Consider the following 13,734-nt stretch of genomic DNA (forward strand, 5'->3'; position numbering starts at 1 on the left):
GGCTTTGGGTTTGTCATAAATAGCTCTTATTATGTTGAGATACGTCCCATCAATACGTAATTTATTGAGAGTTTTTAGCATGAAGCGTTGTTGAATTTTGTCGAAGGCCTTTTCTGCATCTATTGACATAATCATGTGGTTTTTGTCTTTGGTTCGGTTTATATGCTGGATTATGTTTATTGATTTGCGTATGTTGAACCAGCCTTGCATCCCAGGGATGAACCCCCCTTGATCATGGTGGATAAGCTTTTTGATGTGCTGCTGGATTCGGTTTGCCAGTATTTTATTGAGGATTTTTGCATCGGTGTTCATCAGGGATATTGGTCTAAAATTCTCTTTTTTTGTCGTGTCTCTGCCAGGCTTTGGTATCAGGATGATGCTGGCCCCATAAAATGAGTTAGGGAGGATTCCCTCTTTTTCTATTGATTGGAATAGTTTCAGAAGGAATGGTACCATCTCCTCCTTGTACCTCTGGAATCCATCTGGTCCTGGACTTCTTTTGGTTGGTAAGCTATTAATTATTGCCTCAATTTCAGAGCCTGTCATTGATCTATTCAGAGATTCAACTTCTTCCTGGCTTAGTCTTGGGAGGGTGTATGTGTTCAGGAATTTATCCATTTCTTCTAGATTTTCTAGTTCATTTGCATATAGGTGTTTATAGTATTCTCTGATGGTAGTTTGTATTTCTTTGGGATTGGTGGTGATATCCCCTTTATCATTTTTTATTGCGTCCATTTGATTCTTCTCTCTTTTCCTCTTTATTAGTCTTGCTAGCAGTCTATCGATTTTGTTGATCTTTTCAAAAAACAAACTTCTGGATTCATTGATTTTTTGAAGGGTTTTTCGTGTCTATCTCCTTCAGTTCTACTCTGATCTTAGTTATTTCTTGCCTTCTGCTAGCTTTTGAATGTGTTTGCTCTTGTCTCTAGTTCTTTTCATTGTGATGTTAGGGTGTCAATTTTAGATCTTTCCTGCTTTCTCTTGTGGGCATTTAGTGCTACAAATTTCCGTCTACACACTGCTTTAAATGTGTCCCAGACATTCTGGTATGTTGTGTCTTTGTTCTCGCTGGTTTCAAAGAACATCTTTATTTCTACCTTCATTTCGTTATGTACCCAGTAGTCATTCAGGAGCAGGTTGTTCAGTTTCCATGTAGTTGACTGGTTTTAAGTGAGTTTCTTAATTCTGAGTTCTAGTTTGATTGCACTGTGGTCTGAGAGACAGTTTGTTATAATTTCTGTTCCTTTACATTTGCTGAGGAGTGCTTTACTTCCAACTATGTGGTCAATTTTGGAATAGCTGCACTGTGGTGCTGAGAAGAATGTATATTCTGTTGATTTGTGGTGGAGAGTTCTGTAGATGTCTATTAGGTCCGTTTGGTGCAGAGCTGAATTCAATTCCTGGATATCCTTGTTAACTTTCTGTCTCGTTGATCTGTCTAATGTTGACAATGGGGTGTTAAAGTCTCCCATTATTATTGTGCGGGAGTCTAAGTCTCTTTGTAGGTCTCTAAGGACTTGCTTTATGAATCTGGGTGCTCCTGCATTGGGTGCATATATATTTAGGATAGTTAGCTCTTCTTGTTGAATTGATCCCTTTACCATTATGTAATGGCCTTCTTTGTCTCTTTTGATCTTTGTTGGTTGAAAGTCTGTTTTACCAGAGACTAGGATTGCAACCCTGCCTTTTTTTGTTTTCCATTTGCTTGGTAGATCTTCCTCCATCCCTCCTCCTCCATTAATTTTGAGCCTATGTGTGTCTCTGCATATGAGATGGGTTTCCTGAATACAGCACACTGATGGGTCTTGACTCTTTATCCAATTTGTCAGTCTGTGTCTTTTAATTGGAGCATTTAGCCCATTTACATTTAAGGTTAATATTGTTATGTATGAATTTGATCCTGTCATTATGATGTTAACTGGTTATTTTGCTCGTTTGTTGATGCAGTTTCTTCCTAGCATCGATGGTCTTTACAATTTGGCATGCTTTTGCAGTGGCTGGTACCAGTTGTTCCTTTCCATGTTTAGTGCTTCCTTCAGGAGCTCTTATAGGGCAGGCCTGGTGGTGACAAAATCTCTCAGCATTTGCTTGTCTGTAAAGGATTTTATTTCTCCTTCACTTATGAAGCTTAGTTTGGCCGGATATGAAATTCTGGGTTGAAAATTCTTTTCTTTAAGAATGTTGAATATTGGCCCCCACTCTCTTCTGGCTTGTAGAGTTTCTGCCGAGAGATCAGCTGTTAGTCTGATAGGCTTCCCTTTGTGGGTAACCCAAGCTTTCTCTCTGGCTGCCCTTAACATTTTTTCCTTCATTTCAACTTTGGTGAATCTGACAATTATGTGTCTTGGAGTTGTTCTTCTCAAGGAGTATCTTTGTGGCATTCTCTGTATTTCCTGAATTTGAATGTTGGCCTCCCTTGCTAGGTTGGGGAAGTTCTCCTGGATAATATCCTGTAGAGTGTTTTCCAACTTGGTTCCATTCTCCCTGTCATTTTCAGGTACACCAATCAGATGTAGATTTGGTCTTTTCACATAGTCCCATATTTCTTGGAGGCTTTGTTCATTTCTTTTTATTCTTTTTTCTCTAAACTTATCTTCTCACCTCATTTCATTCATTTCATCTTCAGTCACTGATAGCCTTTCTTCTAGTTGATCGAATTGGCTACTGAAGCTTGTGCATTCATCATGTAGTTCTCATGCCATGGTTTTCAGCTCCATCAGGTGCTTTAAGGACTTCTCTGCATTGGTTATTCTAGTTAGCCACTCATCTAATCTTTTTTCAAGATTTTTAACTTCTTTGAGATGGGTTCAAACTTCCTCTTTTAGCTCGGAGAAGTTTGATCATCTGAAGCCTTCTTCTCTCAACTCGTCAAAGTCATTCTCCGTCCAGCTTTGTTCCATTGCTGGTGAGGAGCTGCTTTCCTTTGGAGGAGGAGAGGTGCTCTGATTTTTAGAATTTTCAGTTTTTCTGTCCTGTTTTTTCCCCATCTTGGTGGTTTTATCTACCTTTGGTCTTTGATGATGGTGACGTACAGATGGGGTTTTGGTGCAGATGTCCTTTCTGTTTGTTAGTTTTCCTTCTAACAGTCAGGACCCTCAACTGCAGGTCTGTTGGAGTTGGCTGGAGGTTCACTCCAGACCCTGTTTGCCTGGGTATCAGCAAATGTTGATGTCTGATCGTTCCTCTGGAAGTTTCATCTCAGAGGGGTACCCGGCTGTGTGAGGTGTCAGTCTGCCCCTACTAGGGGGTGCCTCCCAGTTAGGCTACTCGGAGGTCAGGGACCCACTTGAGGAGGCAGTCTGTCCATTCTCAGATCTCAAACTCTGTGCTGGGAGAACCACTACTCTCTTCAAAGCTGTCAGACAGGGACATTTAAGTCCGCAGAGGTTTCTGCTGCCTTTTGTTCAGCTATGCCCTGCCCCCAGAGGTGGAGTCTACAGAGGCAGGCAGGCCTTCTTGAGCTGCGGTGGGCTCCACCCAGTTCCAGCTTCCCGGCCCCTTTGTTTACCTACTCAAGCCTCAGCAATGGTGGGCGCCCCTCCTCCAGCCTCGCTGCCACCTTGCAGTTCAATCTCAGACTGCTGTGCTAGCAATGAGTGAGGCTCTGTGGGCGTGGGACCCTCCAAGCCAGGCACAGGATATAATCTCCTGGTGGGCCGTTTGCTAAGACCATTGGAAAAGCGCAGTATTAGTGTGGGAGTGACCTGATTTTTCAGGTGCCATCTGTCACAGCTTTGCTGGGCTATGAAAGGGAATTCCCTGACCCCTTGCACTTCGCAGGTGAGGCCATGTCTCGCTCTGCTTTGGCTCACACTCGATGCGCTGCACCCACTGTCCTGCACCCACTGTCCGACAAGCCCCAGTGAAATGAACCCGGTACCTCAGTTGGAAATGCAGAAATCACCCATCTTCTGCATCGCTTGCACTGGGAGCTGTAGCCAGGAGCTGTTCCTATTTGGCCATCTTGGAACTGCCTCAGAAGGTTTCTTAGACAGTGGCCTAGGCAGCTTCTACATGGGCCTTTGTGGGAGCTGCCCAGGTTTTGCTCAGTGTTCTGTTTCTGTAATCTGCATCCACACCTGCTCTACCCTTGTTTAGGCTGATCTTGGTCTTTAGAAAGAAACTTGGCCATAAGTTTATGGTTTCATAGCTTAATTGTCCACAAGAAAGAATGACCTGGATCAAGGATCTTCTTTGATTTTCTTTGGGAAAAGTTTGACATCTGACCTTGGACAACTGCACTCAGATTCTGCGGGGTGACCCTGTGACCTCAGGTGCCCTGCACTTCCTTTTCCTGAGAGCTTTCACTGCTCTGGACTCTCCAGAACCACAAGGCAAGGGTTTGGCTGCAGGTGAAGGATGTGAACCAGTCCTGGAAGACCCAGTGGAAAAGGAAAGAATCCCCAGGATGAGGAATGGGAGGAAGGGTGAGAGGCTCTTCTTAGAGAAAGAAAGGTGGCTGGAGGATCAGAGAACTCTGTGTGTGTGTGTGTGTGTGTGTGTGTGTGTGTGTGTGTGTGTCTGTGTGTGTGTCCAGGATGAGGTTAGTGGAGTTCCAGAGAGACAGGGTTGCCTTCTGGGGCTGAGAATACGGATTCCTTGGTATTCAGGCTCTGGTCCTGTTCCTCTCCTGGTCCTACTCATCCTGCCTCCCACTCCTCCCTTCCTCCTCATTCTGTCCTTCAGCCTTTTTGTCACCACTCCTCCTTCCCCTTTCTGCTCCCGCTCCCCCATGTCCTGTCACCTCCTTTTCCTTTCACACACAGAGGATGCAGGTCAACACTGGAAAGGGTTGCTGCAGTCTGAGAAGCTGAAGGAATGTTTTACACCAGCAGGAGAAGCTATACAGCTATGGAAATAAATATCATGTGTATTGTTGAAAAAAATAGAACATATATCAATGGAAGAGAAGAGAGAATTCAGAAATAGATCCTTACATATATGTTTAACTCATGATTCTTAGACATGAATATAGTTATATGTATATATATAATCACGTTTTTGATGATTATCTATCTTTACCTCCAAAATAGGGAACATTAAGAGAACTTAAAAAGAAGCCACAATATAGGAGATACTATATTTATATCCAAAAAAGGATTTTTTTAATAGTATGTATATAATGCAGTCTGATAATATAAACAGCACAATGAAACGATTTGGCAAAAGACTTGAATAGATACTTCAGAAAAGAAGATACGTGAATGGTCAATTAGCACATGCAAAGATGCTCAACTCTTTAGTCATCCGGGAGATCAGTCAATACAATGATGAGATACCATTACATATCCATGAGAACAATAAAGTTAAAAAGGCTGAAAATACCACATGTTGGTAAGGATATAAAGCACTTGGAAGTCTTACACTTGTGGGAATGAAAAATGGTCCGACTTCTTTGAAAATCTGGATAACAGTTTCTTCTAAGTTTAAACACATACAAATCAGATGGGCAGTCTTTCTGTTATGGGGGGCGGGGAGGGGCAGGGAGTGGGGGGGAGGGTCCTTGCTCCCAGAGCTCCCAAGATGGTGGTGAGCCGCTTCCAAGATGGTGGCAAACCTTGTGTTCTCTGACCTGGGGTTCTTGGCTTCATGGATTCCAAGGAATGGAATCTTGGGCCATGCAGTGAGTGTTATAGCTCTATTAGAAGCTGTGGGTCATGGAAGAGAACCGTGGAACCCAGTGACTAGTGTTCAGCTCGATTAGGATGAACCCAGGCACTTAGCCATGCAGGAACAATGGCAAGCCTTCAGCCCGTTAGGGAGCGGCAATGGGTGCCTCGCTGGATCAGGAGCAAAGCAGACTCCGTGCCAGATCCGGAGGGATGGAAGTCAGCCATGGGTCTGCGATGGTGGCAAACATCAGTGGTGGACAGTGAGTGAAAGCTCAGCTTGAGCTGTAACAAACACGGACTAGAAGAGTGTGCAGTTGCAAGATTTAATAGAGTGAAAACAGAGCTCCCTACAAAGGGAAGGGATCCAAAGAGGGTAGCTGTTGCTGGCTCGAATGCCTGGGTTTATATCCCGATCATTGTCCCTCCCACTGTGCTCTCAGGCAATAGATGATTGCTTATTTCTTTACCTCCTGTTTTTGCCTAATTAGCATTTTAGTGAGCTCTCTTTACTACCTGATTGGCCGGGTGTGAGCTAAGTTGCCAGCCCCTTGTTTAAAGGTAGATGCGGTCACCTTCACAACTAGGCTTAGGGATTCTTAGTCAGCCTAGGAAACAAGCATGGTGTAGCCACACAAAGGAATACTACTCAGCAATTACAGCGTATTAACTGTTGATGAAAATACTCATACAGATGGATTAATATGATGCATGAAAGAAGGCAGACATAAAAGAACACAGGTCTAATTTCATTTACAGAAAATGGTTAAAAACGCAAACTGACCTAACTTGACACTTGCTCCCTGGGGTGGAGGGTTGAAAGAGTGATGAACTGCAAAGCCTTACAAGAAACTTTGGGCTTATGGAAATTCCCATGTCTCGATTATAGCAGTTGTTCCATTTGTGTATACATTTGTAAATATGCATTTAATTATATATTTTAAAGTGCTGCAGTCTATTGTACTTAATTTATACCTTTATAACATTGACTTAATAATCTTAATATCTCCATACTAGCAATTACCAGATAGAAAATGAAATTCAATAAAACATAATAGAGATTAATATCGAAAATCATTGCATGCTTAAGAATACATATAATGAAGCAGATACAAAGCCCCTGAAAGCTATTGGTGAGAGAAATTAAAGAAGAGTAAATAGAGAAATGTATATCATGTTCATGGATTGGAAGACTCAATTTTGTGAGGATATCACATCAACATAATTCTGATTAATAATTCTAGTAGGAGTTTTAAAGAAATGTACATGCTAATTTAAAAATGTATTTGAAAATCAAATAATCTAGAATAGGCAAGTTGGTCTTGAAAAAGTTGGAAGACTTACTCTGCTAGATTTCAAAACTCATTTTAGAGCTACAATAATTTAAAAGCTATGGTACGGGTGTAAGTATACATAAATAAAGTAAAAGAATACAGATTCAAAAAATACACCCCCTATGTACAGTTATTTAAATTTTTTAGAAACAAAAACACCAATGCCCTTCATTGGGGAAATGAGAGACTTTTCAATAGAAAGTTTCTGAGTGAAATAATATTTGTTGTTTTAAAAAGTTAATAGTAACAGCCACTTTCTACCATACATTGAAATTAACTTAAGATGTGAAAGTTAGAATTAGAAACCTTCTAAAGGAAAAAATACAAACTATTTTCATGAACTTGACATAGGAAAATATTTCTTAGACCAGAAAATATTTCTTAGACTGTAGCACTGACCACAATAAGAAATCAGTTAAATTGTACTTCATTTTTAAAAAGCTTCTGCTTATTATAGGTTAGTGTTTAACAAGGCAAAACCTATCTGGAGACCAAGAATAATTATTTGCAACATATATGCATGTTGCAAATAAATATACTTATATATATTAATATAAATATAAATATATATATATTAATATAAATATAAATATATATATATTAATATAAATATAAATATATATATATTAATATAAATATAAATATATATATATATATTAGTCTTGAGTGGGTCCAACCTCTATGGTCCCCTCTGTTTGGCATGGGGTGAGGAAGTCCACTCTGGCCTTAGAACAGCATGGACTGCCAGGCATTCTCAGAGAGGGTCTCAACTTCAGCGCTTCACATGTACATATATGAAACAATGGACTCATTCAAAATATATAAATAACTCCAATAGGTCACAAAGAAAATGATAAACAACCCAGTATATCAATGAGTGGAAAAATTTGAAAAGGTGCTTTACATAAGAAGATATCTAAATAACCAATAAGCATGGGAAAACCAAAATATCCCTACACATCTGGTAGAATGGCTAAAATTTAAAAGACTGAAAATATTAAGTGTGTGGGAATGTAGAACGACTGGAAATAGCCTATGTTTTTCATAGAAATGTAAAATAATATAATCATTTTGCAAAACTCTGTGTCCGTTTTCAGCCTTTCACCAAGAAATTCCATCCCTAGCGATCGATACCAAGGAGAAATGAGTATGTATATTCACAGAAAGAAGTGCATAAGAATATTCAGTTACTTATGCATAAGAGCCAACAAGTAAACCTGTCTACCATCACAAAAATGGATATCAAATTGTGTGATAATTATGCAATAAATAGGATATTACTAGGCCAAAACAAAATGAAATGAAAGAAAAACACAAACAAATTGGTAGCATACTGATATATCCAACTGATTAAGAGAAGTCAAAACAAGAGAAGATACTGAATGATTTCATTGTTATGAAGCACAAAAATAAGCAAAATTAATCAGCTGTGGCTGCTATAGTTTAGATATTTGTCCCCTCCCAATCTCATGTTTAAATTTGATCCCCAATGTTGGAGGTGGGGCTTAATGGGAGGTGTTTGGGTTATGGGAGTGGATCTCCATGAATAGATTAATCCCCTCCCAGGGAGAAGGTAGTGAGTGAATTCTCATTCTATTAGTTCCTGCAAGAGCTGGTTATTAAAAAGAGTCTTGAGCTTTTCCTCTCTCTTTTGCTTTCTCTTTCACCATATGATCTTTGCACACACTGGTTCCCTTTCATCTTCTGCAGGGTGGGGAAGCAGCCTCAGGCCCTCATTAAGAGCAGTTGTTGGTGCCATTCTTCTTCTGCAGCCTACAGAACTATGAGCAAAATATATCTCTTTTCTTTATAAATGACCCAGCCTCTTGTATTCCTTTATAGCAACGCAAAGGGACAAAAGGACTAAGATAGTGACAAAATTTAGAATATATTCTTCATTTGGAGGATGAGTATTGACTGGCAAGGAGCACGTCAGAACTTTTTGGCATAGAGGAAAATGTTCCCTCTCTTGATGTGGGTGTTATTATATAAGGTATAATTATATTAAAAGTCATAAGTCTGTACCCTTAGGTTTTTTGTAATTTACTCCATGCAAATTATATCTTAGTGAATAGCTGGTAGCATAAAACAAAGTGACAGATGACAAACACTCAAAAAATAGAAATTGACAGAAGATAGGTAACAAATATTCTGCAGATAAATAATAGGGATCACTTGAGAAAAAAAGAAAAAAACAATGGAATAGAACAAACACAAAAAAGTTTTATTTAAAAAAAGAGTTTGACATTTAAAAGTTTGAAATAATATTAAAGCGACACGCTGTTTCCTTGGAAACACAATGCAGAACCACAAACTCTGAGACTTATTATAGCGAAAGTATTGTCATTCAGTTCAATCTAATGGTATAAGGTTAGCTTTGAAGGCCAAAAGAAATTAGTTTCTAATTCTTATTCTTCTCCCCACTAGACTTGTGGCCTAGGGTAATTTTGTAATCTTTCTGAGTCTGTTTTCTCATCAGGAGCAGGACAATTCCTAAATAATAGATCGTATATAGAAGTAAATATGATCTCATGGCAGTGGACATCAACCACAGTTAATTATTAAGAATATATTTACATTGAGCTATCCTTTATCTACTTTAAAATTGCAGACAAACAACAATTGACAAAGAATAGATAAAATGTTCTAACATAAACATTCTTCCATTCTTTCTAGGAAGAAGTCACACATACAGTAAAAATAATTAGAGAGGACCCAGTTCATATCGAACAACCTTCCCCAAACCTTGAAACAGGTCTGCTTTCTAACATCGGAGATGAAAGCAGTCTATTCCAGACAGAGGGGCTTGTAGGGGTTGGACCCCCTGCAGGCCTGTCTACCTGGAATAGACTAAGAAAGTCTGCTCCAGCCTTAGAACAGCATGGGCTGCCAAGCATTCCCACAGAGGCTCTCGACTTCAGCTCTAGATGTGCTGAGGAATACGTGCACGTGGGTCGGGTTAAGGCCAGCTGAATCACCCTATCAGGGCTGTCATCAGCATCAAAGTCAGTGGAAGGATGCCAGTCCCCAGAGCTCTGTTCCAGGCCACGGGATGCTCCCTGGAGGGGTGGTGGGCATATCAGTACCAATCAGGCAAATATCAGTAATAGACAAGAGGCATAAATAAACAATGTCTGTCCTCCACTAAAACCCAGGAAAGTTCTCATTCCAAAAGCGATGTCTTGAAGAAAACATAGGTATAAATCTTTGTGATTGTGGATTAGACACTTCTTAAGTAGCACAAGCAACACCAAAATAGAAAGATAAATGGACTTCATTAAAATAAAAAATCTTTCATGCTTCCAAGGACTCTGTCAAGGAAGTGAAAAGATAATCCATGTAATGGGAGAACTATTTGCAAATCATATACCTAACAAGGGTCTAGTATCTACAGTATATAAAGAATTCATATAAGTGAGCAAAAAAGACAATTTAAAAATGGGAAAAAAGTTTGAATAGACATTTCTGTAAATGATACATACAAGTGGCCAACAAGCACATACAGAGAGGTTCAATGTTTTTCCTCATTAGGAAAATGTAAACTTAAATCAAAATGAAATACCACTTCAGACCCACAAGGGTGACTTTAAAAAAAACACAACATATGTTTGGAAAGTTATGGAGAAAATGGAATTCTCATATATTACTAGTGGGAATGTAAAATGCTGTAGCCACTGAGATTGGAAAACAGTCTGTCAGTTCTTCAAAAACTTAAACATAAAGTCATATATGATGCAGCAATTGCACTCCTAGGTATATAACCAAGAAAATTAAAATCAAATATTCACTCAAAAACATGTACAAAAATGTTCATAGCAGCATTATTCATAATAGTGAAAAAGTGGAAACATCCCAAACCACCATCAGTTGATGAACAGGTAAACAAAATGTGGTATAACTATAAAATGGAATATCATTTGGCCACAAAAAGGATTGAAGTACTGCTGCATGCTACAACAAGGATGAACCTTGAGAACATTGTGCTAAGTAAGAGATGCAGATGCAAAAGGCAATGTTGCATTATTCCATATACAGGAAATGCCCAGATCAAATATATCTATATAGAGAGAAGGTAGATTAGTGTTTGTCAGGGACTGCAAAAACGGGGTAATTGGAGAGTGACTGCCAGTAAGTACAGGAATGCTTTCCAGCATTGCCAAAGTATTCTGAAATTAGGTAGTGGTGATGGTTGCAAAACCTTTGGAATATAGTAAAAGACGCTGAATGGTATGCATAAAAATGGTGACTTTTGTGATATATGAATTATACTTTAGAAGTAATAATAGCAACAGTAATAAAGAGAGGTATCTTTCCACACCTCCATGTCCTGTATTTTTATTAAGAAAGAAAAAAAAAGGCTTTTTAAGGCCAGGTTCAGTGGCTCACTCCTGTAATCCCAGCAATTTTGGAGGCCTAGGTGGGAGGATGGTTTGAGGCCAGAAGTTTGAGAGCAGCCTGAGAAACATAGCACCACCTCATCTCTACAAAACATTAAAAAACTTAGCCAAGATAGTGATGTGTGCATAGAGTTCCAGCTACTTCTGAAGTTCGGACAGGAGGATCGCTTGAGCCTGGAAGTTTCAGGTAGCAGTGAGCAGTAATCACTACTGCACTTCAGCCTGAGTAACAGAATGAGACCCTGTCTCACAAAGAGCCATGTCACATAGTAAGTGGCCAGAATAGGTTGCTGACAGCATGTCTAGAGGAAATGTATTAGATGAAACATATTAAATTCAAAAACTTTTTTTGAGGCGGGGGGCAGAAATGAGGTACAGGGGAGAGAAACACCTACTTGGAAAGAACCACACAACTGAATTGGAAAACTTGGAATGGGGCTTGTGGGAGGGGGACTCTACCTGAGATCTGGCTCCAGTACTTACAGCAAAGGGAACTTGGGTGGGTTACAGACTCTCTGTGCCTTGGTTTCTTCATCAGCAAAACAGAATCATCCCATAAACTGTAAGGTCCGTGGTATCAGAGGGTCCCCAAACTGACTGCACATCTGAGTCATGTTAACAAACACATTCCAGGCCCCACCTGAGCACGCTGAATCAGAATCCCTGCAAGGAGGACACTGAACCTGTATTTGCACTGACCTTCCAGGTGTTTCTTACTCTGATCAACTTGGGGGTAGGAACCATTGAGCTGCATCACATCATTCCAAAGCCCAAACACAAAAGCAGAACAAGAATATATTCAATGCAGTCTCCAAAGCAGAGAAATCTCTTGGGGGAACCTAGAAGTGAAGGAGACCTGGCTTGCTGGGCTCCATCTTAACTTTATCCTGACTACGGCAGAGACACGAGCCCTTCGGGACACATGCCTGAGGCAGTGACAGTCCAACTTTGGAACAGTGGAAGCCCTAGTTTCAAATTCAAGCTTGCTTTGAGTAGAAATTAAGTTTACATCTTTTTGTACAGCAACAAGGCCAGTCTTCTGCAAGCTGCTTACCTTACAAGGAAAAAAAACAAAATCCTACTACTAAGAATTCAAACTTCAGCAGACATGGGTAAGGAAGTCTTATAAATCTGTTCTAGCCACCTAAAAATAAACCAGAAATTTAGCAAGTTCTTTCACATTCAGGACAGTGTGTTCACTAGATCAGAGGCACTGAGACATGAAGAAAAGACCCGCTAAAAAGGGAAAGCCTTCCTTCCTGCCCTAGGACATCCCTGCCAACTTCAGGGAGGTGGGAACCCAGCTGCGCTCTCTACAGTATGGGTTACTTTTGTGTCTGGAAGGTGTCTGACATCCTGAGACCTGGACCCATTTCAAGGAGCTTTGGGAAGAGCCCAGATCACTGATGGAATTGGACAGTGCATGGAAATGGTTCAGCAGGACGAGGGTAAGTGCAGGATCACGGCCAGGTCATTCTGAGAGACAATGAGTGGCACTGATGGGGTCAGACAAAGATTAAAAACAAAAGTTTGTGCTTCGACTTCAGAAACTCAAATCAATAACTAATTTGCTCTTGTAAGTAATAAGCAGCATTTTTCTATCTACATGAGAATTTAGTCTCAAAACAGAAATCAGAAAAAATATCAAGTCCAGGGCATAAAACCTAAACCGGTGCTTACATTTATTCATTCTAAATAGAGCTAAGAGTAAAATCTTCTCCATAAAATATATATTGTATCTATACATAAAATATATATTGTATCTGAGTTCAGGGTATGATGAGTGTGACCAAGGACTACCCAGCATTCATGTGGAAGTGAAGGAAGAGGACTGGATCAATCCCAGTGGAAAGCGTGCCTCTCAGCAGCCTGCACCATCCTCCACCTACACTGTGTAATGACAGTGCTTTGAGATGTAGCAAAGGCTATAAATTTATCTATTCTCTGTTGTCTCAGAGACCTGACATTCTGTGTCAGAATGAAAAGTTATAACAAGGCAAAAGTCTTAATGAGAATCATTGGTACTCAATAGAATAGTGAATTAAATACAGCCAAGGGAAGACCCAAGTCTCATATTTCTCTTGTATATTCCAAAGTTTCAGTGAAATTCCAGGTAATAGAGGTTATTTCCCACACTGTTAAAGCAAGGTTGCAGACACTTCTGAATTTCGGTCCCAGTGCTGAAGGAGGGCACACCTCTGTCCTGGAAAATGACACAGGAATGAATGCTCTTCCCATGACTCATTCTGGTCATTCTTCCAGCATCACAGAAACCAAAAAATAGAAATATAGCCAAATACATGATTTGCTATCCCTCTTCTTCAGGTTTCTTACCTGTTTCTTATGGATAATAACATTGCCTTAAGGATTATGATGAAAATATGATATCCAAGT

This window comes from Homo sapiens, chromosome 5 (assembly GCF_000001405.40).
Source record: "Homo sapiens chromosome 5, GRCh38.p14 Primary Assembly".
NCBI lineage: Eukaryota > Metazoa > Chordata > Mammalia > Primates > Hominidae > Homo > Homo sapiens.